Source organism: Homo sapiens, chromosome 15 (genome assembly GCF_000001405.40).
Source record: "Homo sapiens chromosome 15, GRCh38.p14 Primary Assembly".
NCBI classification, from domain to species: domain Eukaryota; kingdom Metazoa; phylum Chordata; class Mammalia; order Primates; family Hominidae; genus Homo; species Homo sapiens.
In genome coordinates this window covers 88543857-88569812 of record NC_000015.10, presented here as the reverse complement: position 1 = coordinate 88569812, position 25956 = coordinate 88543857, and the positions used below count along the sequence as shown (strand labels likewise).

General features: G+C 47.7%; 1 protein-coding gene and 1 long non-coding RNA gene across 12 annotated transcripts in view, besides 4 other annotated features; one reads left to right on the top strand and one right to left on the bottom strand.

The window, feature by feature from the left end:
- Window positions 884-1383: an enhancer, noted in NCBI's record as "H3K4me1 hESC enhancer chr15:89111661-89112160 (GRCh37/hg19 assembly coordinates)". NCBI's record gives its function as "activates a minimal SCP1, AML or CMV promoter by ChIP-STARR-seq in primed H9 embryonic stem cells {active_cell/tissue: H9 hESC(primed)}" and the evidence as "EXISTENCE:reporter gene assay evidence [ECO:0000049][PMID:30033119]".
- Window positions 7449-8069: an enhancer, noted in NCBI's record as "OCT4-NANOG hESC enhancer chr15:89104975-89105595 (GRCh37/hg19 assembly coordinates)". NCBI's record gives its function as "activates a minimal SCP1, AML or CMV promoter by ChIP-STARR-seq in naive H9 embryonic stem cells {active_cell/tissue: H9 hESC(naive)}" and the evidence as "EXISTENCE:reporter gene assay evidence [ECO:0000049][PMID:30033119]".
- Window positions 21528-22402: an enhancer, noted in NCBI's record as "NANOG-H3K27ac hESC enhancer chr15:89090642-89091516 (GRCh37/hg19 assembly coordinates)". NCBI's record gives its function as "activates a minimal SCP1, AML or CMV promoter by ChIP-STARR-seq in naive and primed H9 embryonic stem cells {active_cell/tissue: H9 hESC(naive and primed)}" and the evidence as "EXISTENCE:reporter gene assay evidence [ECO:0000049][PMID:30033119]".
- Window positions 22480-23228, bottom strand: LOC124903547 (uncharacterized). The gene is made up of 2 exons (XR_007064748.1): window positions 22972-23228; window positions 22480-22853 (listed from the first exon to the last, which is right to left on the bottom strand). It is a non-coding gene; the product is annotated as an uncharacterized LOC124903547 (long non-coding RNA).
- Window positions 22969-23328: a silencer, noted in NCBI's record as "silent region_6789". NCBI's record gives its function as "represses an Ori minimal core promoter by ATAC-STARR-seq in GM12878 lymphoblastoid cells {active_cell/tissue: GM12878}" and the evidence as "EXISTENCE:reporter gene assay evidence [ECO:0000049][PMID:35858748]".
- The window catches only part of DET1 (DET1 partner of COP1 E3 ubiquitin ligase), a 44785-nt gene continuing 41938 nt past the window's right edge, over window positions 23110-25956 (top strand). For 6 of the 11 annotated variants that reach the window (NR_135742.2, NR_135739.2, NR_026645.3 and 3 more), the window contains exon 1: window positions 23132-23273. The gene's annotated coding sequence lies outside the window, so the exon portion shown is untranslated. Of the gene's footprint in view, window positions 23274-23437; window positions 23550-25118; window positions 25203-25956 lie in introns of those variants that run through there. The other 5 variants (NR_135744.1, NR_135743.1, NM_001321596.1 and 2 more) reach the window with 2 other exon arrangements.

Here is a 25956-nt window from a genome sequence, read left to right as displayed (position 1 = left end):
GACCTTGTTTTGAGGGAGAAGGGAAATAACAAGCAGCTTGAAAACAACATTTTTCTAAACCTACCATTTTTTGCTGTTATTCATGTTTTAAATTTTACATTTTTTTTAATTTTTAAATTTATTTTTTAAAGACAGGGTCTTGCTCTGTTACCCAGGCTAGAGTACAGTGGTGAGATCATAACTCGTCTCTACTAAAAAATACAAAAATTAGCCAGGCATGGTGGTGGGTACCCATAGTCCTAGCTACTCAGTAGGCTGGGGCAGGAGAATTGCTTGAACCCAGGAGGCAGAGGTTGCAGTGAGCCAAGATTGCGCCACTGCACTCCAGCCTAGGCAACGGAGTGAGACCGTCTCAAAGAAAAACAAACAAACAAACAAAGAAAAACAATTTGTTTAAACAAGCAACAAAAGAAACATCAGCCACAATCCCTTACCCAAGCATGACCATTTTGTACTATTTCATTTTGGGCATGGTTCTTCCCATATGTTCTTGTTGACATATTGTATTTATTTATTTATTGTTTTCAATTTTTATTTTAGGTTCAGGGATACATGTGCAGGTTCGTTATGTAGGTAAACTTGTGTCACAGGGCTGTATTGTACAGATTATTCCCTCTCCCAGGCACTAAGCATAGTACCTGATTGTTATTTTTCCTGATCCTCTCCCTCCTCTCACCCTGCACCTCCAAGTAGGCCCAAGTGTCTGCTGTTCCCCTCTTTGTGCCCATCGGTTCTCATTATTTAGCTCCCACTTATAAGTGAGAACATGCGGTTGGTTTTCTGTTCCTGCGTTAGTTTGCTGAGGATCGTGGCCTCCAACTCCATCCACGTTCTTGCAAAGGACACAGTCTTGTTCTTTTGGTATCTGTCCAGTTTGGGTTCTACTCTGGCACTTATTTCATCATAAACTTATAAAATATTATGCCTTGGTTTTCATCACCATTGGCTTTGGCTGCTGCTTAATGTCCCCTGAGGGCCTTCGTGGAGTTTCTGAGCTATTCCTCGCTGTGGGACATGTTAATTGCGATGGCATGACACTGTAATTCCTTTCAGTGTAATAGTCCTTCCCCTAAGCGTAATAGTGTAATAGTCCTAAGCATTGACACTGTAATTCCTTTCAGTGTAATAGTCCTTCCCCCCAAAGTTGCTTTTCTTTTCTTTTCTTCTTTTCGTTTCTCTCTTTTATTAGAAAATAAACTTGCTCTTTAATGGGGAATGGGAGAGAGGGCTGTCTGCGCAGGAATGAGGGTAGGGTGTCTGTGGGCTGAGTCAGCTTTGGGCTCCTGGTTCTGATTATGCAGCTCATGTATGGTGTCCTTGCTATCAGGCAACGTGGCCGCTCCATAACCCACAGTGCCCAGGGCATAGCACCTGGAGGATACCAGCAAGTAGGCGGGCAGTCACCACAGGACCTCCCAGCAGGACAAGGGCAGCTCCAGGCCCAGGGCTCCCATGGTCAGGGCCAACCAGGTAGAGCCCAGGATCACCAGTTCCCAAAGCCATTGTGCTAATTTCATCATGGTCACTCTTCGCACCGCATCTCCTCAGGTTGCTTTTCTATCTCATCAGCAACCTTCTTCAAAACCTGCCTCCCTAATCTGTCATGAGATTAGAGTAAGAAATTTTAAAAAAATAGAAAAGAAAGAAAATCTTGCCTCTGAAGTGCAATGCATCTTCCAGAAGGTGCTTGTGCTTTCTCAGCTACCATCCCCTCCTACTGACTCCTCTCCCCAGAGCCATGCATCAGGCCCCACTAAAGACCCCTTCTTCTTAAAGACTTTCCCAAACTGAGGAGCACCTGGGCTGGGCTGTCACCTGCTGTATGCGTCCACGTGGCCTTGTGCTTCCTAACCAGCACTTTCCACATTTCATTCTGTTTCATGGTGTGAATTACTCACCACTGTATCCTCAGCAAGTGAAAGGAAGGACACAGGGGGACAGGGAAGGAGGGCATGCCCTAGCTCCTCCTAGGGCCTCTGGTGGCCTGTGGCCTGCAGGTGAAAGGGAGGTCAGTCCTATGGTAGTCATCCCCATTAGCCTTCTGCCCTTACAGCAGGTCCAAGCTCTACCATTCTTGGGCTTCCAGACCCCAGCACAGTGTGGTGTCTCGGGGGAAAGCTTGTGTCTCATAGGTGGGCAAGCTACCCCCACTCCTCTGGCTGCTCCAGCTGCCCCCATTACAGGGCATCGCTGGTTGGGGCCAGGAAGGACTGTTTGTTCAATTCTAACAACACAGGGGCTATTACCAGTGGCGCTGGAGGGGAGGAACAGCTGTTCCATCTCCCAAGCTAGTTCCAGCCCCCCTTACCTGATCGCCTCCCTAGGTTTTATCGAATCTCCGTGTCTTGCAATTACCTCTAATTTCATTGCCTTCATTGCGAAGAAGAGCGCTTTTCCCTGCAGCTAAGATTTTCTTATATTCCCTGGGCTTTGCCTCTTCAGCCCCCAGCCTCTTCTTTACACTCCCAGCGAACGACATGAGCAGTCATTTTCTGGGACTGGAGCTCTGCCTGCACCCCTGCCCTGGCCACTCACACCTCAGCCGTGCTCCCCTGTCCTGCCCCTGAGAGCAGAAACCAGAGAGTGGAGGCCCTATGGCAACCCAGGGGCCTCCAGTTTAAGGAAAATGCTTCACAGGGCTTTGCTCTATGGTCCAAGCAGCTACTCCCTCTGGAAAGAAGGTTTTGATGTGCTTCCTCCTTCTCGTTCCTCTCCAAAGACCCTCCTCCAACCCCATATCTCAGGCAGATCTAGGAGGTAAGGACCAGGTTTCAGGACTGGCTTATTTCATTCATCCAACAAATACTTGTTAGGTCTTTAATATGTGCTAGCACTAGACAATCAAAAACTACTTATTTAACACAGATTTTATTCTCAGCACAGTGTCTGATACTCATCCCCTTCCCTGAGAATGAATAGGTACCAGAGGCAGTGGGAAGAGAGTATCTGAGAAAGACTGAAGGCTGCAGGGTCACCAAAGATAAAGAAAAGACCCTCCTGGTTAGTGAGCATTTAGTCGAGGGCATGAGGGGAAGGTATGTCTTCAAACAGTGGTGCTCAAAGCTGCAGTGTGCTATGATAGGGTATAGCTGCAGACACGGTACCTGCCTTTGAGAAGTTTCAAAACTAGGGCTGGGCACAGTGGCTCCCTCCTGTAATCCTGGCACTTTGGGAGGCCGAGGCAGGCAGATCGCCTGAGCTCAGGAGTTTGAGACCAGCCTGGGCAACATGGCAAAACCCTATCTCTACTGAAAAAATCAAAAAATTAGCCAGGCGTGGTGGTGCGTGCCTGTGGTCCCAGCTACTCGGGAGGCTGAGGCAGGGGAATCGCTTGAGCCTAGGAGGCAGAGATTGCAGTGACCTGAGATCATGCCATTGCACTCCAATCTGGGCAACAGAGTTTCAAAACTACCTGGGCATAGAAGCAATCATGCATTGAATACCTAATCAGGTCCCGCACTGATGGAGGTAATAGTCATCCTTGCTTTAGAGATAAGAGAAATGGGCCTCAGAGGCTCTCTCCCTTTCTCCTGCTGTAGCCCACCTGACTCTCTGTGCTTCAGGAATGCCAAACTGTGCTTTGTTCTCTGCAGATACTATGCTGTTTTACATCTCACTACCTTTTCCTGTGCAGTTCCTATTGCCTGGAACACCATTCCTTCAGCATCTTCTATAGCATCTATTCTGGGAGTGCTAGGTTAAGTGCCCATCCAACTGTTGGTGAGGATCTCTCAACTAGACTGCAGGCTTCTCTGAGGCAGGAATCGTGACTTTGTCACACTGGTCCTGCCACACTTGGCCCAGTGCCTGCTGCAGAGTCAGGGTTCTCAAATTATTGGCTGAAGACAATAAATATGTACAGTCACCTGTCTTAAGCAGCACAGCTAGCATGAGGCAAAATAGGCTTTGAACCATGGTTGCCCCTCACATAAGGCACCTTTGTGTGCATTAGGAAAAGACTCCCCCTCTGAGTGGGTGCACTGCAAAAAGGCAAGTCTTCTGGGAAGACCAGCTGGGAAAAGGCACTCCTTCCTTGGCTGATGCAGCCCTGGGCCAGGTCTTGGGGCTTGGCTGAGCCAGCGAGTAGATTTCAGCCCTGACTCATGCTTCTTGGGCATGATGACCCAGCTCAGGTATAGCCTGTTTGAACCCAAGTCAGCCTGATACTGAAACCCACACTTTTCTTTGCCATGTGAACAAGAGCAATGTGCCCTCAAAATATTTTCAAGCCAAGAGAAAGCTGTGTGTGTGTGTGTGTGTGTGTGTGTGTGTGTGTGTGTGTGTGTGTGAGAGAGAGAGAGAGAGAGAGAGAGATTGATTTTTGGCAAGAGATTTTGCTATTTTTGGTAAAACAGCAAAAGCCCCAAACAGCCGGTGCCATGTTCCTATGAGCTCAATCCACAAGTTATTCTTTTCCCCCAAATCAAGCAGAACAATACTCATCCCTTTGCCTGAGCACAAATAGGTGCCAGAGGCAGTGGGAAGAGAGTATCTGGGAAAGACTGAAGGCTGCAGGGTCACCAAAGATAAAGAAAAGCCCCTCCTGGGCAGTAAGCATTTAGTCGAGGGCATGAGGGGAAGGTATGTCTTCAAACGCTGGAGTTCAAGACAGCAGTGCACTATGATCATGCCTGTGAATAGCTACAGCACTCCAGCCCGGGCAATATAGTGAGAACATGCCTGACTCTAAAAAATTTGGATTTGAAATCCGAAGGCTGCGGAAATGCAAGCAGAAACTGAGCATGTTTTGCAAACAGCAATAAAGGATTTAGCATGAGGAAGTGAGCCTTGCAAAGCAAGAATAGGGTAGGGGATCCAAAAAAGGGTCAAGTGAAACTGTCTCAGTTTGTGTATCTGTAAAATGGGGATGATACTACCCACCTCACGGAGTCCTCACAGATGAAATTCAATAATATAGGTGAAATGAGTAGCATCTGGCATATGGTAAACATTTACTAAATGGTGATTGCAATTATTTTGATTAACAGGTTGGTGATGATGATGATGATGATGGGGGTGTTGTTGCTGGTGGTGTAATATTTAGGGTAATGAATATCTGCCACTAAATGTCAAGGTGAGAAGAGCTCTGCTAGCCTCTTCTAGAAAGAGAGAAAGAACAAGAGCCTCTCATCCTGCTTTTGTTCCCATCCACTCCTCTTGCGGCTAATGCAGATAGTGAGCAGAGTTGCTAAAAGCCTTGGCAGAAGAACCACAGGAGGACTGAAATGAGTGGAGAGAAAGCTCTCCAGTCCTTCAGGCCCTGCTGCCTGTCACTCCATCTTCCCACTCCCTGGGGCACCCTGCATGAGAAGGATGGAGGAGGCAGAAGCATGGGGATACAGTGGGGGACTTAGCGCTCTTCCTAGGGTGAGATGACAATGGAAGGGAGGGCCAGGAATGAGAAGTTGGGACAGTTGAGATGGATGCCAAAGGGCTGTGGAAATAAAATGGGTCCTCTGGTGTGCTTGAAGCCTATACCACCGATGCCGCCCATTTGTAAAAAGATTGTTATTTAGTATTCCACGAATATTTACTGAGTGCGTATGTACCTGTCACTGTGGTAGCTTGGAGATCAGTAGTCACAAAACAGAGATGGTCTCTGTATTTGTGGAGCTGACTTAACTTTAAGCCCAAATACTTGATTACTTTTTGAGCAAAAGTAGACACAGTTACTTAGGCCAAAAACCTTGGGATATCCTTGTCTCTTTTCTTTCTCTCACACTGCTGATCTAATCCACTGGCAAGGCCTATTGGCTGTATCCTCAATATGCACCCCAAATCTGACCATTTCTCACCACCTCCACCTCTATCACCCCAATCCAAGCCACTGCCATCTCTTGCCTAGACCACTGCTGTAGCTACTCCTCTGCTCAATGCCCTCCCTGGCTCCTTATCTTACTCTGAATTGAAGGGAAAGTCCTTGCAGTGACTCACAATGCAGTCGTCATCTTGCCTCTGATTGCCCCTTTAACTCCGTTGTACTATGGTAGCAATAAGAGCTGGAAGAATGAAATGAAATCCACTTCCTGGAAAAGGCAAAGAGGGAAGACAAACTTCGGCCTCCTTTATCACTAGCAGATTTTCCAGGAAGCGCAGTGATGGACTCTTACATGGGACCCTGCCTTAAACTGACAGATAACAAGAACAGTAACGGAAGGTCAGAGCATTTTAAAGACATCACTAGAAATATGGTTAAAAATTAAAGATAAGCCTCACACAGGGAAAAATATATTTGCAGTCCCAACAAAAGATCAATATCCAGAATATATAAATAGCTCCTGTAAATCTTTAAGAAAAATAATCCCAGTGGAAAAATGGGCAAAGGATTTGCAAAGGCAACTCACCTACCTTTAAAAAAATAAAAATATAAAAGGAACGGTCTCTTGGGGAAAAAACTTACAAACCAAGGATCATTAGAGAAGAGAAGGCATAGGCCCTGTTCTATTCTCCTGATACCACCATGCTGGGAAAAGGGCAGTGTGGGTCTACACTCCAGCAGAGGGAATTCTTCTTATTGTTTTATCTTCATGTAGGTCAATCATTAATGTACATTTATCTACGAAGATATACACAAGCTGCTTGAGTGCCGGGCAGGCTGGAGGGGAGAGTCCTTTTTGCTGTTATTATGGAAAGTTTCAAATGTATACAAAAGTAGAGAGAAAAGTACGATGAACTCAGTGTCCCAGAATGCTTTTGGCTTAAACCACTACACTCCTCAAGGGAAGGCTCCCCTGCAAGAAATCAGAAGGCTTCCCCATGGTGGGCAGAGGTGGGGAAGGGTGGGCTGTGGAGGGGTGACAGGGTGTTGGGATGAACCTTGAAGAGGAGCAGCATCTGACAGGCTGAATGGAGAAATGGGAGGATTGCAGCCCACTCAGGGCTGGCTCTACAGACCATCGGAGCCACAAAGCTGGGGACAATCCGAAAATTAGAACTGTTCCTTTTTTTTTTTTTTTTTTAAATTGAGACATACTCTACACAATTCACCATTTAAAAATGTACAATTCAGAAGGTTTTAATATATTAACAGGTGTGTAACCATTACCATTATCTAATTCAGTACATTTTTCATCATCCCAAAAAGAAACGTCATACCCACTAGCAGTAACTCCTTATTCCCCTTTTCCCTTACCCCCAGAAACCACTCATCTACTTTCTGTCTCTACAGATTTGTCTATTCTGGATGTTTCATATAAATGGAGTAATACAATATGTGACCTCTTGTGACTGGCTTCTTTCACTCAGCAGAAGGTTTTCAAGGTCCATCTTGTTGTGGCAAGTATCAGTACTTCATCCTTTTTTAATACTGAATAATATTCTATTGTATGGATATACCACCTTTTGTTTATCCATTCATCTACTGGTAGACACTTAGGTTTTTTCCATACGTTATCTATTATAAATAATACTGCTATGAACATTTGTGTCCAAGTTTTTGTGTGGACACGTTTTAATTTCTCTTGGTTATATACTGAGAGGTACTTCTGGGTCAAATGGTAACTTCATGTTTAACTTTTTGAGGAATGGCTAAACTGTTTTCCACAGTGACTGTCAGGCCTCTGAGGCCAAGCCAAGCCATTGCATCCCCTGTGACCTGCACGTATAAGCCCAGATGGCCTGAAGTAACTGAAGAATCACAAAAGAAGTGAATATGCCCTGCCCCACCTTAACTGATGACATTCCAACACAAAAGAAGTGTAAATGGCCAGTCCTTGCCTTAAGTGATGACATTACCTTGTAAAAGTCCTTTTCCTAGCTCATCCTGGCTCAAAAAGCACCCCCACTGAGCACCTTGTGACCCCCCACTCCTGCCCGCCAGAGAACAAACCCCCTTTGACTGTAATTTTCCTTTACCTACCCAAATCCTATAAAATGGCCCCACCCTTATCTCCCTTCACTGACTCTCTTTTCAGACTCAGCCCACCTGCACCCAGGTGAAATAAACAGCTTTATTGCTCACACAAAGCCTGTTTGGTGGTCTCTTCACACGGACGCGCATGAAATTTGGTGCCGTGACTCGGATCAGGGGACCTCCCTTGGGAGATCAATCCCTTGTCCTCCTGTTCTTTGCTCCATGAGAAAGATCCACTTACAACCTCAGGTACTCAGACTGACCAGCCCAAGAAACATCTCACCAATTTCAAATCTGGTAAGCGGCCTCTTTTTACTCTCTTCTCCAACCTCCCTCACTATCCCTCAACCTCTTTCTCCTTTCAATCTTGGTGCCACACTTCAATCTCTCCCTTCTCTTAATTTCAATTCCTTTCATTTTCTGGTAGAGACAAAGGAGACACGTTTTATCCGTGGACCCAAAACTCCGGCGCTGGTCACGGACTGGGAAGGCAGCCTTCCCTTGGTGTTTAATCATTGCAGGGACACCTCTCTGATTATTCACCCACGTTTCAAAGGTGTCAGACCACAGAGGGATGCCTGCTTTGGTCCTTCACTCTTAGCGGCAAGTCTCGCTTTTCTGGGGAAGGGGCAAGTACCCCAACCCCTTCTCTCCTTGTCTCTACCCCTTCTCTGCTTTTCTGAGGGAGGGGCAAGTACCCCTCAACCCCTTCTCCTTCACCCCTAGCGGCAAGTCCTGCTTTTCTATGGGGCAAGAACCCCCAATCCCTTATTTCCACGCCCGAACCTCTTATCTCTGTGCCCCAATCCCTTATTTCTGCGCCCCAACCTCTTATATCTCTGCGCCCCAATCCCTTATTTCCGCACCCCATCCCTTATTTCCATGCCCTGACCTCTTATGTCTGCACCCCAACCCCTTTTCCCACTTTTCTGGAAGGTAAGAACCCCCGAACCCCTTCCCTCTGTTTCTCTACTCTCTCTTTTCTCTAGGCTTGCTTCCTTCACTATGGGCAACCTTCCACCCTCCATTCCTCCTTCTACTCCCTTGGCCTGTGTTCTCAAAAACTTAAAACCTCTTCAACTCACACCTGGCCTAAAACCTAAATGCCTTATTTTCTTCTGCAATGCCGCTTGACCCCAATACAAACTCGACAGTAGTTACAAATAGCCAGAAAACGGCACTTTGAATTTTTCCATCCCGCAAGATCTAAATAATTCTTGTCGTAAAATAGGCAAACGGTCTGAGGTGCCTGATGTCCAGGCATTCTTTTACACATCAGTCCCTTCCTAGTCTCTGTGCCCAGTGCAACTCGTCCCAAATCTTCCTTCTTTCCCTCCTGCCTGTCCTCTCAGTACCAACCCCAAGCATCACTGAGTCTTTCTAATATTCCTTTTCTACAGACCCATCTGACCCTCTCCCTTCCTCCCCAGGCTGCTCCTCGCCAGGCCAAGCTAGGTCCCAATTCTTCCTCAGCCTCTGCTCCTCCACCCTATAATCTTTTTATCACCTCCCCTCCTCACACCTGGTCCGGCTTAAGGTTTCCTTCCATGACTAGCCCTCCCTGTCCTGCCCAGCAATTTACTCTTAAAAAGGTGGCTGGAGCTAAATGCATAGTCAAGGTTAATGCTCCTTTTTCTTTATCCCAAATCAGATAGCATTTAGGCTCTTTCTCATCAAATATAAAAATCCAGATTTTAGAGGAGCCAAGATGGCTGAATAGGAACAGCTCTGGTCTACAGCTCCCAGCGTGAGCAATGCAGAAGATGGGTGATTTCTGCATTTCCAACTGAGGTACCGGGTTCATCTCACTAGGGAGTGCCAGACAGTGGGTGCAAGTCAGTGGGTGCACGCACCATGCGCGAGCCGAAGCAGGGCGAGGCATTGCCTCACTCGGGAAGCACAAGGGGTCGGGGAGTTCCCTTTCCTAGTCAAAGAAAGGGGTGACAGACGGCACCTGGAAAATCGGGTCACTTCCACCCGAATACTGCGCTTTTCCCACGGGCTTAAAAAATGGCGCACCAGGAGATTATATCCTGCACCTGGCTCGGAGGGTCCTACGCCCACGGAGTCTCACTGATTGCTAGCACAGCAGTCTGAGATCAAACTGCAAGGCGGCAGCGAGACTGGGGGAGGGGTGCCCACCATTGCCCAGGCTTGCTTAGGTAAACAAAGCAGCCCACAAGCTTGAACTGGGTGGAGCTCACCACAGCTCAAGGAGGCCTGCCTGCTTCTGTAGGCTCCACCTCTGGTGGCAGGGCGCAGACAAACAAAAAGACAGCAGTAACCTCTGCAGACTTAAATGTCCCAGTCTGACAGCTTTGAAGAGAGCAGTGGTTCTCCCAGCATGCAGCTGGAGATCTGAGAACGGGCAGACTGCCTCCTCAAGTGGGTCCCTGACCCCTGACCCCCAAGCAGCTTAACTGGGAGGCACCCCCCAGCAGGGGCAGACTGACACCTCACATGGCCGGGTACTCCAACAGACGCAGCTGAGGGTCCTGTCTGTTAGAAGGAAAACTAACAAACAGAAAGGACATCCACACCAAAAACCCATCTGTACATCACCATCATCGAAGACCAAAAGTAGATAAAACCACAAAGATGGGGAAAAAACAGAGCAGAAAAACTGGAAACTCTAAAAAGCAGAGCGCCTCTCCTCCTCCAAAGGAACGCAGTTCCTCACCAGCAATGGAACAAAGCTGGACAGAGAATGACTTTGACGAGCTGAGAGAAGAAGGCTTCAGACGATCAAATTACTCTGAGCTATGGGAGGAAATTCAAATCAAAGGCAAAGAAGTTGAAAACTTTGAAAAAAGTTTAGAAGAATGTATAACTAGAATAACCAATACAGAGAAGTGCTTAAAGGAGCTGATGGAGCTGAAAACCAAGCCTCGAGAACTACCTGAAGAATGCAGAAGCCTCAGGAGCCGATGCAATCAACTGGAAGAAAGGGTATCAGCGATGGAAGATGAAGTGAATGAAATGAAGTAAGAAGGGAAGTTTAGAGAAAAAAGAATAAAAAGAAACGAGCAAAGCCTCCAAGAAATATATGACTATGTGAAAAAACCAAATCTACGTCTGATTGGTGTATCTGAAAGTGATGGGGAGAATGCAACCAAGTTGGAAAACACTCTGCAGGATATTATCCAGGAGAACTTCCCAAATCTAGCAAGGCAGGCCAACATTCAGATTCAGGAAATACAGAGAACGCCACAAAGATACTCCTTGAGAAGAGCAACTCCAAGACACATAATTGTCAGATTCACCAAAGTTGAAATGAAGGAAAAAATGTTAAGGGCAGCCAGAGAGAAAGGTCGGGTTACCCACAAAGGGAAGCCCATCAGACTAAGAGTGGATCTCTCGGCAGAAACTCTACAAGCCAGAAGAGAGTGGGGGACAATATTCAACATTCTTAAAGAAAAGAATTTGCAACCCAGAATTTCATATCCAGCCAAACTAAGCTTCATAAATGAAGGAGAAATAAAATACTTTACAGACAAGCAAATGCTGAGAGATTTTGTCACCACCAGGCCTGCCCTAAAAGAGCTCCTGAAGGAAGTGCTAAACATGGAAAGGAAAAACCGATACCAGCTGCTTCAAAATCATGCCAAAATGTAAAGACCATCAAGGCTAGGAAGAAACTGCATGAACTAATGAGCAAAATCACCAGCTAACATCATAATGACAGGATCAAATTCACACATAACAATGTTAACTTTAAATGTAAATGGACTAAATGCTCCAATTAAAAGGCACAGACTGGCAAATTGGATAATGAGTCAAGACCCATCAGTGTGCTGTATTCAGGAAACCCAACTCCTGGGCAGAGACACACATAGGCTCAAAATAAAAGGATGGAGGAAGATCTACCAAGCAAATGGAAAACAAAAAAAGGCAGGGGTTGCAATCCTAGGCTCTGATAAAACAGACTTTAAACCAACAAAGATCAAAAGAGACAAAGAAGGCCATTACATAATGGTAAAGGGATCAATTCAACAAGAAGAGCTGACTATCCTAAATATATATGCACCCAATACAGGAGCACCCAGATTCATAAAGCAAGTCCTCAGTGACCTACAAAGAGACTTAGACTCCCACACATTAATAATGGGAGACTTTAACACCCCACTGTCAACATTAGACAGATCAATGAGACAGAAAGTCAACAAGGACACCCAGGAATTGAACTCAGCTCTGCACCAAGTGGACCTAATAGACATCTACAGAACTCTCCACCCCAAATCAACAGAATATACATTTTTTTCAGCACCACCCCACACCTATTCCAAAATTGACCACATACTTGGAAGTAAAGCTCTCCTCAGCAAATGTAAAAGAACAGAAATTATAATAAACTATCTCTCAGACCACAGTGCAATCAAACTAGAACTCAGGATTAAGAATCTCACTCAAAACCACTCAACTACATGGAAACTGAACAACCTGCTCCTGAATGACTACTGGGTACATAACAAAATGAAGGCAGAAATAAAGATGTTCTTTGAAACCAATGAGAACAAAGACACAACATACCAGAATCTCCGGGATGCATTCAAAGCAGTGTGTAGAGGTAAATTTATAGCAACAAATGCCCACAAGAGAAAGCAGGAAAGATCCAAAATTGACACCCTAACATCACAATTAAAAGAGCTAGAAAGGCAAGAGCAAACACATTCAAAAGCTAGCAGAAGGCAAGAAATAACTAAAATCAGAGCTGAACTGAAGGAAATAGAGACACAAAAAACCCTTCAAAAAATTAATGAATCCAGGAGCTGGTTTTTTGAAAGGATCAACAAAATTGATAGACCACTAGCAAGACTAATAAAGAGAAAAAAAGAGAAGAATCAAATAGATGCAATAAAAAATGATAAAGGGGATATCACCACCGATCCCACAGAAATACAAACTACCATAAGAGAATACTACAAACACCTCTATGCAAATAAACTAGAAAATCTAGAAGAAATGGATAAATTCCTCAACACATACACTCTCCCAAGACTAAACCAGGAAGAAGTTGAATCTCTGAATAGACCAATAACAGGAGCTGAAATTGTGGCAATAATCAATAGCTTACCAACCAAAAAGAGTCCAGGACCAGATGGATTCACAGCTGAATTCTACCAGAGGTACAAGGAGGAACTGGTACCATTCCTTCTGAAACTATTCCAATCAATAGAAAAAGAGGGAATCCTCCCTAACTCATTTTATGAGGCCAGCATCATCCTGATATCAAAGCCTGGCAGAGACACAACCAAAAAAGAGAATTTTAGACCAATATCCTTGATGAACATGGATGCAAAAATCCTCAATAAAATACTGGCAAACCGAATCCAGCAGCACATCGAAAAGCTTATCCACCATGATCAAGTGGACTTCATCCCTGGGATGCAAGGCTGGTTCAATATACGCAAATCAATAAACGTAATCCAGCATATAAACAGAACCAAAGACAAAAACCACATGATTATCTCAATAGCTGCAGAAAAGACCTTTGACAAAATTCAACAACCCTTCATGCTAAAAACTCTCAATAAATTAGGTATTGATGGGACATATCTCAAAATAATAAGAGCTATCTATGACAAACCCACAGCCAATATCATACTGAATGGGCAAAAACTGGAAACATTCATTCCCTTTGAAAACTGGCACAAGAGAGGGATGCCCTCTCTCACCACTCCTATTCAACATAGTGTTGGAAGTTCTGGCCAGGGCAATCAGGCAGGAGAAGGAAATAAAGGGTATTCAATTAGGAAAAGAGGAAGTCAAATTGTCCCTGTTTGCAGATGACATGATTGTATATCTAGAAAACCCCATTGTCTCAGCCCAAAATCTCCTTAAGCTGATAAGCAACTTCAGCAAAGTCTCAGGATACAAAATCAATGTGCAAAAATCACAAGCATTCTTATACACCAACAACAGACAAACAGAGAGCCAAATCATGAGTGAACTCCCATTCACAATTGCTTCAAAGAGAATAAAATACCTAGGAATCCAACTTACAAGGGATATGAAGGACCTCTTCAAGGAGAACTACAAACCACTGCTCAATGAAATAAAAGAGGATACAAACAAATGGAAGAACATTCCATGCTCATGGGTAGGAAGAATCAATATCGTGAAAATGGCCATACTGCCCAAGGTAATTTACAGATTCAATGCCATCCCCATCAAGCTACCAATGACTTTCTTCACAAAATTGGAAAAAACTACTTTAAAATTCATATGGAACCAAAAAAGAGCCCACATCACCAAGTCAGTCCTAAGCCAAAACAACAAAGCTGGAGGCATCACACTACCTGACTTCAAACTATACTACAAGGCTACAGTAACCAAAACAGCATGGTACTGGTACCAAAACAGAGATATAGATCAATGGAACAGAACAGAGCCCTCAGAAATAACGCCGCATATCTACAACCATCTGATCTTTGACAAACCTGAGAAAAACAAGCAATGGGGAAAGGATTCCCTATTTAATAAATGGTGCTGGGAAAATTGGCTAGCCATACGTAGAAAGCTGAAACTGGATCCCTTCCTTACACCTTATACAAAAATCAATTCAAGATGGATTAAAGACTTAAACGTTAGACCTAAAACCATAAAAACCCTAGAAGAAAACCTAGGCATTACCATTCAGGACATAGGCATGGGCAAGGACTTCATGTCTAAAACACCAAAAGCAATGGCAACAAAAGGCAAAATTGACAAATGGGATCTAATTAAACTAAAGACCTTCTACACAGCAAAATAAACTACCATCAGAGTGAACAGGCAACCTACAAAATGGGAGAAAATTTTCACAACCTACTCATCTGACAAGGGGCTAATATCCAGAATCTACAATGAACTCAAACAAATTTACAAGAAAAAAACAAACAACCCCATCAAAAAGTGGGCAAAGGACATGAACAGACACTTCTCAAAAGAAGACATTTATGCAGCCAAAAAACACATGAAAAAATGCTCACCATCACTGGCCATCAGAGAAATGCAAATCAAAACCACTATGAGATACCATCTCACACCAGTTAGAATGGCATTCATTAAAAAGTCAGGAAACAACAGGTGCTGGAGAGGATGTGGAGAAATAGGAACACTTTTACACTGTTGGTGGGACTGTAAACTAGTTCAACCATTGTGGAAGTCAGTGTGGCGATTCCTCAGGGCTCTAGAACTAGAAATACCATTTGACCGAGCCATCCCATTACTGGGTATATACCCAAAGGACTATAAATCATGCTGCTATAAAGACACATGCACACGTATGTTTATTGTGGCATTATTCACAATAGTAAAGACTTGGACATTTGGGTTGCCAAATGTCCAACAATGATAGACTGGATTAAGAAAATGTGGCACGACTGTGTGTTTATAAAGGAAGAGTATTCATTCTCTCCCTCTCCCTCTCCCTCTCCCTCTCCCTCTCCCTCTCCCTCTCCCTCTCCGTCTCCCTCTCCGTCTCCCTCTCCGTCTCCCTCTCCGTCTCCCTCTCCGTCTCCCCATGGTCTCCCTCTCATGCGGAGCCGAAGCTGGACTGTACTGCTGCCATCTCGGCTCACTGCAACCTCCCTGCCTGATTCTCCTGCCTCAGTCTGCCGAATGCCTGCGATTGCAGGCATGCGCCGCCACGCCTGACTGGTTTTGGTGGAGACGGGGTTTCGCTGTGTTGGCCGGGCCGTTCTCCAGCCCCTAACCGCGAGTGATCCGCCAACCTCGGCCTCCCGAGGTGCCGGGATTGCAGACGGAGTCTCGTTCACTCAGTGCTCAATGGTGCCCAGGCTGGAGTGCAGTGGCGTGATCTCGGCTCACTACAACCTACACCTCCCAGCCGCCTGCCTTGGCCTCCCAAAGTGCCGAGATTGCAGCCTCTGCCCGGCCACCACCCCGTCTGGGAAGTGAGGAGTGTCTCTGCCTGGCCACCCATCGTCTGGGATGTGAGGAGCCCCTCTGCCTGGCTGCCCAGTCTGGAAAGTGAGGAGCGTCTCCGCCCAGCCGCCATCCCATCTAGGAAGTGAGGAGCGCCTCTTCCCAGCCGCCATCACATCTAGGAAGTGAGGAGCGTCTCTGCCCGGCCGCCCATCGTCTGAGATGTGGGGAGCGCCTCTGCCCCGCCGCCCCATCTGGGATGTGAGGAGCGCCTCTGCCCGGCGAGACCCCGTGTGGGAGGTGAGGAGCGTCTCTGCCCGGCTGCCCCGTCTGAGAAGTGAGGAGACCCTCTGCCTGGCAACCACCCCGTCTGAGAAGTGAGGAGCCCCTCCGCCCGGCAGCTGCCCCGTCTGAGAAGTGAGGAGCCTCTCCGCCCGGCAGCCACCCCATCTGGGAAGTGAGGAGCGTCTCCGCCCGGCAGCCACCCCGTCCGGGAGGGAGGTGGGGGGGGGGTCAGCCCCCCGCCCGGCCAGCCGCCCCATCCGGGAGGGAGGTGGGGGGTCGGCCCCCCGCCCGGCCAGCCGCCCCGTCCGGGAGGGAGGTGGGGGGGTCAGCCCCCCGCCCGGCCAGCCGCCCCGTCCGGGAGGTGAGGGGCGCCTCTGCCCGGCCGCCCCTACTGGGAAGTGAGGAGCCCCTCAGCCTGGCCAGCCACCCCGTCCGGGAGGGAGATGGGGGGGTCAGCCCCCCCACCCGGCCAGCCGCCCCGTCCGGGAGGGAGGTGGGGGGGTCAGCCCCGCCTGGCCAGCCACCCCGTCCGGGAGGGAGGTGGGGGGGTCGGCCCCCCGCCCGGCCAGCCGCCCCATCTGGAGGGAGGTGGGGGGTCGGCCCCCGCCCGGCCAGCCGCCCCGTCCGGGAGGGAGGTTGGGGGGTCAGCCCCCCTGCCCGGCCAGCTGCCCCGTCCAGGAGGTGAGGGGCGCCTCTGCCTGGCCGCCCCTACTGGGAAGTGAGGAGCCCCTCAGCCCGGCCAGCCACCCCGTCCGGGAGGGAGATGGGGGGGTCAGCCCCCCCACCCAGCCAGCCACCCCGTCCGGGAGGGAGGTGGGGGAGTCAGCCCCCCGCCTGCCAGCCGCCCCGTCCGGGAGGGAGGTGGGGGGGTCAGCCCTCCGCCCGCCAGCCGCCCTGTCTGGGAGGTGAGGGGCGCCTCTGCCCGGCCGCCCCTACTGGGAAGTGAGGAGCCCCTCTGCCCGGCCAGCCGCCCCGTCCGGGAGGGAGGTGGGGGGGTCGGCCCCCCGCCCGGCCAGCCGCCCCGTCCGGGAGGGAGGTGGGGGGGTCAGCGCCCCACCCGGCCAGCCGCCCCGTCCGGGAGGGAGGTGGGGGGGGTCAGCCCCCCTGCCCGGCCAGCCACCCCGTCCGGGAGGTGAGGGGCGCCTCTGCCCGGCCGCCCCTACTGGGAAGTGAGGAGCCCCTCTGCCCGCCAGCCGCCCCGTCCGGGAGGGAGGTGGGGGGGGTCAGCCCCCCGCCCGGCCAGCCGCCCCGTCCGGGAGGGAGGTGGGGGGGTCAGCCCCCCGCCCGGCCAGCCGCCCCGTCCGGGAGGTGAGGGGCGCCTCTGCCCAGCCGCCCCTACTGGGAAGTGAGGAGCCCCTCTGCCCGGCCAGCCGCCCCGTCCGGGAGGGAGGTGGGGGGTTCAGCCCCCCGCCCGGCCAGCCGCCCCGTCCGGGAGGGAGGTGGGGGGGGTCAGCCCCCCTGCCCGGCCAGCCGCCCCGTCCAGGAGGTGAGGGGCGCCTCTGCCCGGCCGCCCCTACTGGGAAGTGAGGAGCCCCTCTGCCCGGCCACCACCCCGTCTGGGAGGTGTGCCCAATAGCTCATTGAGAACGGGCCAGGATGACAATGGCGGCTTTGTGGAATAGAAAGGCGGGAAAGGTGGGGAAAAGATTGAGAGATCGGATGGTTGCTGTGTCTGTGTGGAAGGAAGTAGACATGGGAGACTTTTCATTTTGTTCTGCACTAAGAAAAATTCCTCTGCCTTGGGATCCTGTTGATCTGTGACCTTACCCCCAACCCTGTGCTCTCTGAAACATGTGCTGCGTCCACTCAGAGTTAAATGGATTAAGGGCGGTGCAAGATGTGCTTTGTTAAACAGATGCTTGAAGGCAGCATGCTCGTTAAGAGTCATCACCAATCCCTAATCTCAAGTAACCAGGGACACAAACACTGCGGAAGGCCGCAGGGTCCTCTGCCTAGGAAAACCAGAGACCTTTGTTCACTTGTTTATCTGCTGACCTTCCCTCCACTATTGTCCCATGACCCTGCCAAATCCCCCTCTGTGAGAAACACCCAAGAATTATCAATTAAAAAAAAAAAAAATAAATAAATAAATAAATAAATAAATAAATAAAAGAAAATGTGGCACATATACACCATGGAATACTATGCAGCCATAAAAAATGATGAGTTCATGTCCTTTGTAGGGACATGGATGAAATTGGAAATCATCATTCTCAGTAAACTATCGCAAGAACAAAAAACCAAACTCCGCATATTCTCACTCATAGGTGTGAATTGAACAATGAGATCACATGGACACAGGAAGGGGAACATCACACTCTGGGGACTGTTGTGGGGTGAGGGGAGGGGGGAGAGATAGCATTGGGAGATATACCTAATGCTAGATGACGAGTTAGTGGGTGCAGCGCACCAGCATGGCACATGTATACATATGTAACTAACCTGCACATTGTGCACATGTACCCTAAAACTTAAAGTATAATAATAAAATAAAAAAAAAAAAATCCAGTACAGTTCATGACTTGTTTGGCAGCAATCCTGAGACACTTTACAGCCCTAGACCCTAAAAGGTCAAAAGGCCGTCTTATTCTCAAAATACATTTTATTACCCAATCTGCTCCCGTCATTAAATAAAGCTCCAAAAATTAAATTCCGGCCCTGAAACCCCACAAGAGGATTTAATTAACCTCGCCTTCAAGGTGTACAATAATAGAAAAAAGTTGCAATTCCTTGCCTCCACTGCGAGACAAACCCCAGCCACATCTCCAGCACATAAGAACTTCCAAACACCTGAAGTGCAGCGGCCAGGCATTCCTCCAGAACCTCCTCCCACAGGAGCTTGCTACACGTGCTGGAAATCTGGCCACTGGGCCAAGGAATGCCCGCAGCCTGGGATTCCTCCTAAGCTGCGTCCCACCTGTGTGGGACCCCACTGAAAATCGGACTGTTCAACTTACCTGGCAGCCACTCCCAGAGCCCCTGGAACTCTGGCCCAAGGCTCTCTGACTGACTCCTTCCCAGATCTTCTCGGCTTAGCGGCTGAAGACTGACAGTGTCCGATCGCCTCAGAAGCCCCCTAGACCATCATGGATGCCGAGCTTTGGGTAACTCTCACAGTGGAAGGTAAGCCCGTCCCCTTCTTAATCAATATGGAGGCTACCCACTACACATTACCTTCTTTTCAAGGGCCTGTTTCCTTTGCCTCCATAACTGTTGTGGGTATTGACGGCCAGGCTTCTAAACCTCTTAAAACTCCCCAACTCTGGTGCCAACTTAGACAATACTCTTTTAAGCACTCCTTTTTAGTTATCCCCACCTGCCCAGTTCCCTTATTAGGCTGAGACACTTTAACTAAATTATCTGCTTCCCTGACTATTCCTGGACTACAGCTATATCTCATTGCCTCCCTTCTTCCCAATCCAAAGCCTCCTTTGCATCCTCCTCTTGTATCCCCCACCTTAACCCACAAGTATAAGATACGACTACTCCCTCCTTGGCAACCGATCATGCACCCCTTACCATCTCATTAAAACCTAATCACCCTTACCCCACTCAGTGCCAATATTCCACCCCGAAGCATGCTTTAAAAAGATTAAAGCCTGTTATCACTCGCCTGCTACAACATAGCCTTTTAGAACCTATAAACTCTCCTTACAATTCCCCCATTTTACCTGTCCTAAAACCAGACAAGCCTTACAAGTTAGTTCAGGATCTGCACCTTATCAACAAAATTGTTTTGCCTATCCACCCCATGGTGCCAAACCCATATACTCTCCTATCCTCAGTACCTGCCTCTACAACCCATTATTCTGTTCTAGATCTCAAACATGCTTTCTTTACTATTCCTTTGCATCCTTAATCCCAGCCTCTCTTCGCTTTCACTTGGACTGACCCTGACACCCATCAAGCTCAGCAAATTACCTAGGCTGTACTGCCGCAAAGCTTCACAGACAGCCCCCATTACTTCAATCAAGCCCAAATTTCTTCCTCATCTGTTACCTATCTTGGCATAATTCTCATAAAAACACACGTGCTCTCCCTGCCAATCATGTCCGACTGATCTCTCAAACCCCAACCCCTTCTACAAAACAACAACTCCTTTCCTTCCTGGGCATGGTTGGATACTTTCACCTTTGGATACCTGGTTTTGCCATCCTAACAAAACCATTATATAAGCTCACAAAAGGAAACCTAGCTGACCCCATAGATCCTAAATCCTTTCCCCACTCCTCTTTCCGTTCCTTGAAGACAGCTTTAGAAACTGCCCCACTCTAGCTCTCCCTGACTCATCCCAACCCTTTTCATTCCACACAGCTGAAGTGCAGGGCTGTGCAGTTGGAATTCTTACATAAGGACCAGGATCGCATCCTGTAGCCTTTTTGTCCAAACAACTTGACCTTACTGTTTTAGGCTGGCCATGATGTCTCCATGCAGCCACTGCTGCTGCCCTAATACTTTTAGAAGCCCTCAAAATCAAAAACTATGCTCAACTCACTCTCTACAGTTCTCGTAACTTCCAAAATCTATTTTCTTCCTCATACCTGACGCATATGCTTTCTGCTTCCTGGCTCCTTCAGCTGTACTCACTCTTTGTTGAGTCTCCCACAATTACCATTGTTCCTGGCCCAGACTTCAATCCGGCCTCCCACATTATTCCTGATACCACACCTGACCCCCATGACTGTATCTCTCTGATCCACCTGACATTCACCCCATTTCCCCAAATTTCCTTCTTTCCTGTTCCTCACCCTGATCACGCTTGATTTATTGAAGGTGGTTCCACCAGGCCTAATCGCCACACACCAGCAAAGGCAGGTTATGCTATAGTACAAGCCACTAGCCCACCTCTTAGAACCTCTCATTTCATTTCCATCGTGGAAATCTATCCTCAAGGAAATAATTTCTCAGTGTTCCATCTGCTTTTCTACTACTCCTCAGTGATTATTCAGGCCCCCTCCCTTCCCTACACATCAAGCTCGAGGATTTGCCCCACCCAGGACTGGCAACTTAGCTTTACTCAACATGCCCTGAGTCAGATAACTAAAATACCTCTTAGTTCAGGTAGACACTTTCACTGGATAGGTAGAGGCATTTCCTACAGGGTCCGAGAAGGCCACCGCAGTCATTTCTTCCCTTCTGTCAGACATAATTCCTCAGTTTAGCCTTCCCACCTCAATACAGTCTGATAACAGACGAGCCTTTATTAGTCAAATCAGCCAAGCAGTTTTTCAGGCTCTTAGTATTCAGTGAAACCTTTATATCCCTTACAGTCCTCCGTCTTCAAGAAAAGTAGAATGGACTAAAGGTCTTTTAAAAACACACCTCTCCAAGCTCAGCCACCAACTTAAAAAGGACTGGACAATACTTTTACCACTTTCCCTTCTCAGAATTCAGGCCTGTCCTCAGAATGCTACAGGGTACAGCCCATTTAAGCTCCTGTATAGATGCTCCTTTTTATTAGGCCCCAGTCTTATTCCAGACACCAGACCAACTTAGACTGTGCCCCAAAAAAACTTGTCATCCCTGCTATCTTCTGTCTAGTCATACTCCTATTCACCGTTCTCAACTACTCATACATGCCCTGCTCTTGTTTACACTGCCCTGCTCTTGTTTACATTGTTTTTCTAAGCCATCACAGCTGATATCTCCAGGTGCTATCCACAAACTGCCACTCTTAACTCTTGAAGTAAATAAATAATCTTTGCTGGCAGGACTATGCTGAATCTCCTTAGGCACTCTCTAATCAGATATCCTGAGTCATCCCAATTCTTAGACCTTTTATACCTGTTTTTCTCCTTTTGTTATTCCATTTGGTTTCTCAATTCATCCAAAACCATATCCAGGCCATCACCAATCATTCTATATGACAAATGTTTCTTCTAACATCCCCACAATATCACCCCTTACCACAAGACCTCCCTTCAGCTTAATCTCTCCCACTCTAGGTTCCCACGCCACCCCTAATCCCGCTTGAGGCAGCCCTGAGAAACATCGCTCATTCTCTCTCCATACCACCCCCCAAAAATTTTTGCCGCCCCAACACTTCAACACTATTTTTATTTTTCTTATTAATATAAGAAGGCAGGAATGTCAGGCCTTTGAGCCCAAGCCAAGCCATCGCATCCCTTGTGACTTGCACATATAAGCCCAGATGGCCTGAAATAAGTGAAGAATCACAAAAGAAGTGAGTATGCCCTGCCCCACCTTAACTGATGACATTCCACCACAAAAGAAGTGTAAATGACCGGTCCTTGCCTTAAGTGATGACATTACCTTGTAAAAGTCCTTTTCCTAGCTCATTCTGGCTCAAAAAGCACCCCCACTGAGCACCTTGCGACCCCCACTCCTGCCCGTGAGAGAACAAGCCCCCTTTGACTGTAATTTTCCTTTACCTACCCAAATCCTATAAAACAGCCCCACCCTTATCTCCCTTCGCTGACTCTCTTTTCGGACTCAGCCCACCTGCACCCAGGTGAAATAAACAGCTTTATTGCTCACACAAAGCCTGTTTGGTGGTCTCTTCACACGGACGCCCATGAAAGTGACTGCACCCATCCCAGCAGCAGTGTATGAGGCTTTTGATTTCTCCACCTCCTCACCAGTATGTGATATCTTCCTTTTAAAGATATTATAGCCATCCTAAGGGGTATGAAGTAGTATCTCATTGTTTTGATTTGCATTTCTCTGATAATTAATGATGTTGAAGGTCTTTTTGTTAGGGAAGCAGGAGCCTACGAGAGCCAGAGTGACATCATTTTAAAATCAACTCCATCTTAAAACTAGCAAGGCAAATTCCCTGTTAGTCAGAGATGATCAATACAATCTCAGTCTTCAAGGTGCTCGCCATCTAGAAGATAACAGAGTAGGAAGTTTCTCAGCATCTAATCAATAGGTGAAAAATTAATTCTATTCATATTTTTTCAAATGTGCCCAGCAGGTGCAGAGACACTGCCATTGGGACTCACAGAGATTGCCAGGTTAGGTGCCATTTTAATTTTTCCTTCGGAGCCATGGAGCCTCTACGGCTTCGATCCTTCCTCCGGGCACAAGGGTGCGCTGTACCTGTCTCTTAGTGTTGGCTGAACAGTGCCGTGCTCTCCCCTACTTCCCTTTTTGCTGGGCCGCAGTTCCGGTGGCTGGCGGAAACGGGAACGTGCAGCCGCGGGTGCAGGAGTCCTGGGGCATGGCGGGGGCGGGGCAGGGGGAGGCGCGCACAGAACAGGCTGGGGCATCCCTCGCCCTGGCTCTTTGAGCCCGGACCAGACAGGTGAGGACTTACCATTTTTGGCCCAGCCTCCAAGCCCGTCAGACCCTCCCCGGCAGGCTCCTCCCTGCATGACGCTGATGCCCAGAGGCCCCGCGGCCCCCGCCCTCCCTCAGCATTCTCTTCCCTTTGAGGCCCCGCCCCAGGCTTTTCTTTCCGGGGGCGCCCTTTTGGGTATGTGTGCCCGCCCCTTGGCATCCCCTTCTGGTTTAGAGGCCGTCGCAAGGAATTGAGGGACATGTGCACCTTCTCCCATAGGGAAACTGAGACCCAGCAAGGGTAAAGGACTTAGTACCACACAGTGAGTTAGTGTGTTGTACCCAGGGGTGTTAGAGAAAACGCCACACTTTGAGACGAATTAAGAGTCCTTTATTAGCCGGTGACCGAGAGACCGCTAACGCTCAAAATTCTCTCGGCCCTGAGGAAGGGGCTTGATTAACTTTTATACCTTGGTTTAGGAAGGGGAGGGGGGGTCTAGTTAAAACAATTTTACAGAAGTTAGGTAGTCAAAAAGTTAAAAGGATAAATGGTTACAGGAAAGTAAACAGTTCCAGGTGCAGGGGCTTTATGACTATTACAAGGTGATAGACGTGGGGCTTTGGGTGTTATCAATCAGATGAATTCTTGGGGACTGTGGATATAGCTTGCCACAGTATCTTATCAGTTAATTGCATTCTTGGATGTGCTGGGAGTCAGCTTGCACAAGTTAAGTCCTTGAGGAAGGGGCTGCCAGTGAAAGAGCCAAGATGGAGTCTGTCTGGCTCTCTTAGCTAAGGGAGAGTCTAAAAACAGAGTTAGTAAAAACCAGGTTGGGCATTACATTCCCCACTTGTGTTTTTGGGGAATCAAATCATTGATTCCTCAGTTTTAACAAGGGGAGTCTTAAGATACATAAGTTTGACAGAAGCTATGCATTGTTTTACAAAATTAAGAAACCAATTTAATATACAAGGCCTAAAAATTAAACTTAATAGTATGATGAGGAGAGGTCCAGCTAACCCAGTGATTAAAGTAGTTAGCCAGGGGTTCCAGTGGAACATGTTTTGATACCAGGGGATGTTATTTTCTCGTTCCTGTTGTTGCCTATCTAGATATTCTCGAACTTTTTGGAGGGTATCTTTTATGACTAAGAATGGTGGAGGAACAGTTAAATCAACTTTGTCAGGGGGTTTCTGGAACATAGGGTCACCTAGAGCAGTTAAAGGCCCGATTGGCTTGGGTGGGCTCCATGAGACCAGGATTTTTATTTCTATTATTTATTTATTTATTTTGGATGGTGAACATAGTCCCAACATCAAATCCTGGAATATAAAATGTTAATTTCCATGACATGCCGTAATATTATTGTAAGAGGATTACAATTTTTTTTTTAGTACATAATTTAGGATGAGAAGCACGAGTTACCGAATGAAGATCTGGTTGATCCCCCAGAGTAGGTGGCTAAGTTTACACATGTCCAATCAGGGCAGAAAAACTGATAAGTATCTCGACAGCTAGCGTCAGGGTGATTCCCAGGACAGAGGTAAAAGTCAACATTTTGGAGTTCTTTTTCTGCACCTTTGGCACTTCCACACATCCAGTTTGGCTCCCAGAGCACCCAAATCCTGCTACAAGGTCGACACTTCCTGCTTTTGGGACAAGCAGATTGTGTTGCTCTTCGTGGGTACAGGCTGGCTTTGGGAACAGTATACATAAAATCAACTGCAAAGGAGACTTCCTTAGAGGTACCGGCCCTCCAAGTGGTGTTTGCAAATACACGTCCTGACTTAGGCACAGTTTTAGAAGGGGCCTGACCGAGGCCTGGGGACCCCTGTTTTTAGTAGGGCTCTGTTGGCCTTTTTGATGCAGGAGTGATGAATCTAAGCAGGAATGCCATCCACCTTCAGAGCCATTGGCGTGAGGATGACGGTGTGAAGTCTTTTCAAAGCAGGAGTGAGTCCTTGTTTCTGAAACTTTTTAACAAACACTAGTTCTCCTGGCTGGAACGAATGGCAGGACCCCGTCTGGTTAGGAATTGGATTGGGATGGTTTCCTTGAACAAGTGGCAGGGTGATATCTTGTACCTGTTGGGGAGATTGTAGGTACTGTAATAAATTAGCTTGTGATATTTCTGCCAGTTGGGCATCTCTTAGCTTAAGCAAGATAGGCGGCGCCCTCCCATACATGATTTTAAAAGGTGAGAACCTAGCCTGATAAAGGGTGCACCTTACTCTAAGTAGGGCTAAAGGAAGGAGACTTACCCAATTTTTACCGGTTTTTAAAATTAATTTTGTAAGAGTGTCTTTTTAGGGTGCGGTTCATGTGTTCTACCTGCCCAGAGCTCTGGGGTCGATAGGCACAATGGAGCTTCCACTGAATGTTTAACGCCTAACTGACCCACTGAGCTATGGACGAGGTGAAGGCAGGTGTATTATCACCCTGCGGCAGCAGGCAGCCCATATTGAGGGATGATTTTATTGAGTAGGAACTTAACTACCGTATTGGCAGTTTCATTTTTGGTAGCAAATGCTTCAGTCTATCTGGAGAAGGTGTCTACTAGTACTAGAAGCTATTTGTACCTAGCCCGGTGTGGTTTTACTTCTGTAAAGTCAATTTCCCACTTTTCTTCTGGCGAGTTTTCTCAGAGACGGTGGCCTAGGCTGGGTTTAGAACCTTGCTTGGCATTTACCTGGGCGCAGGTTGTGCA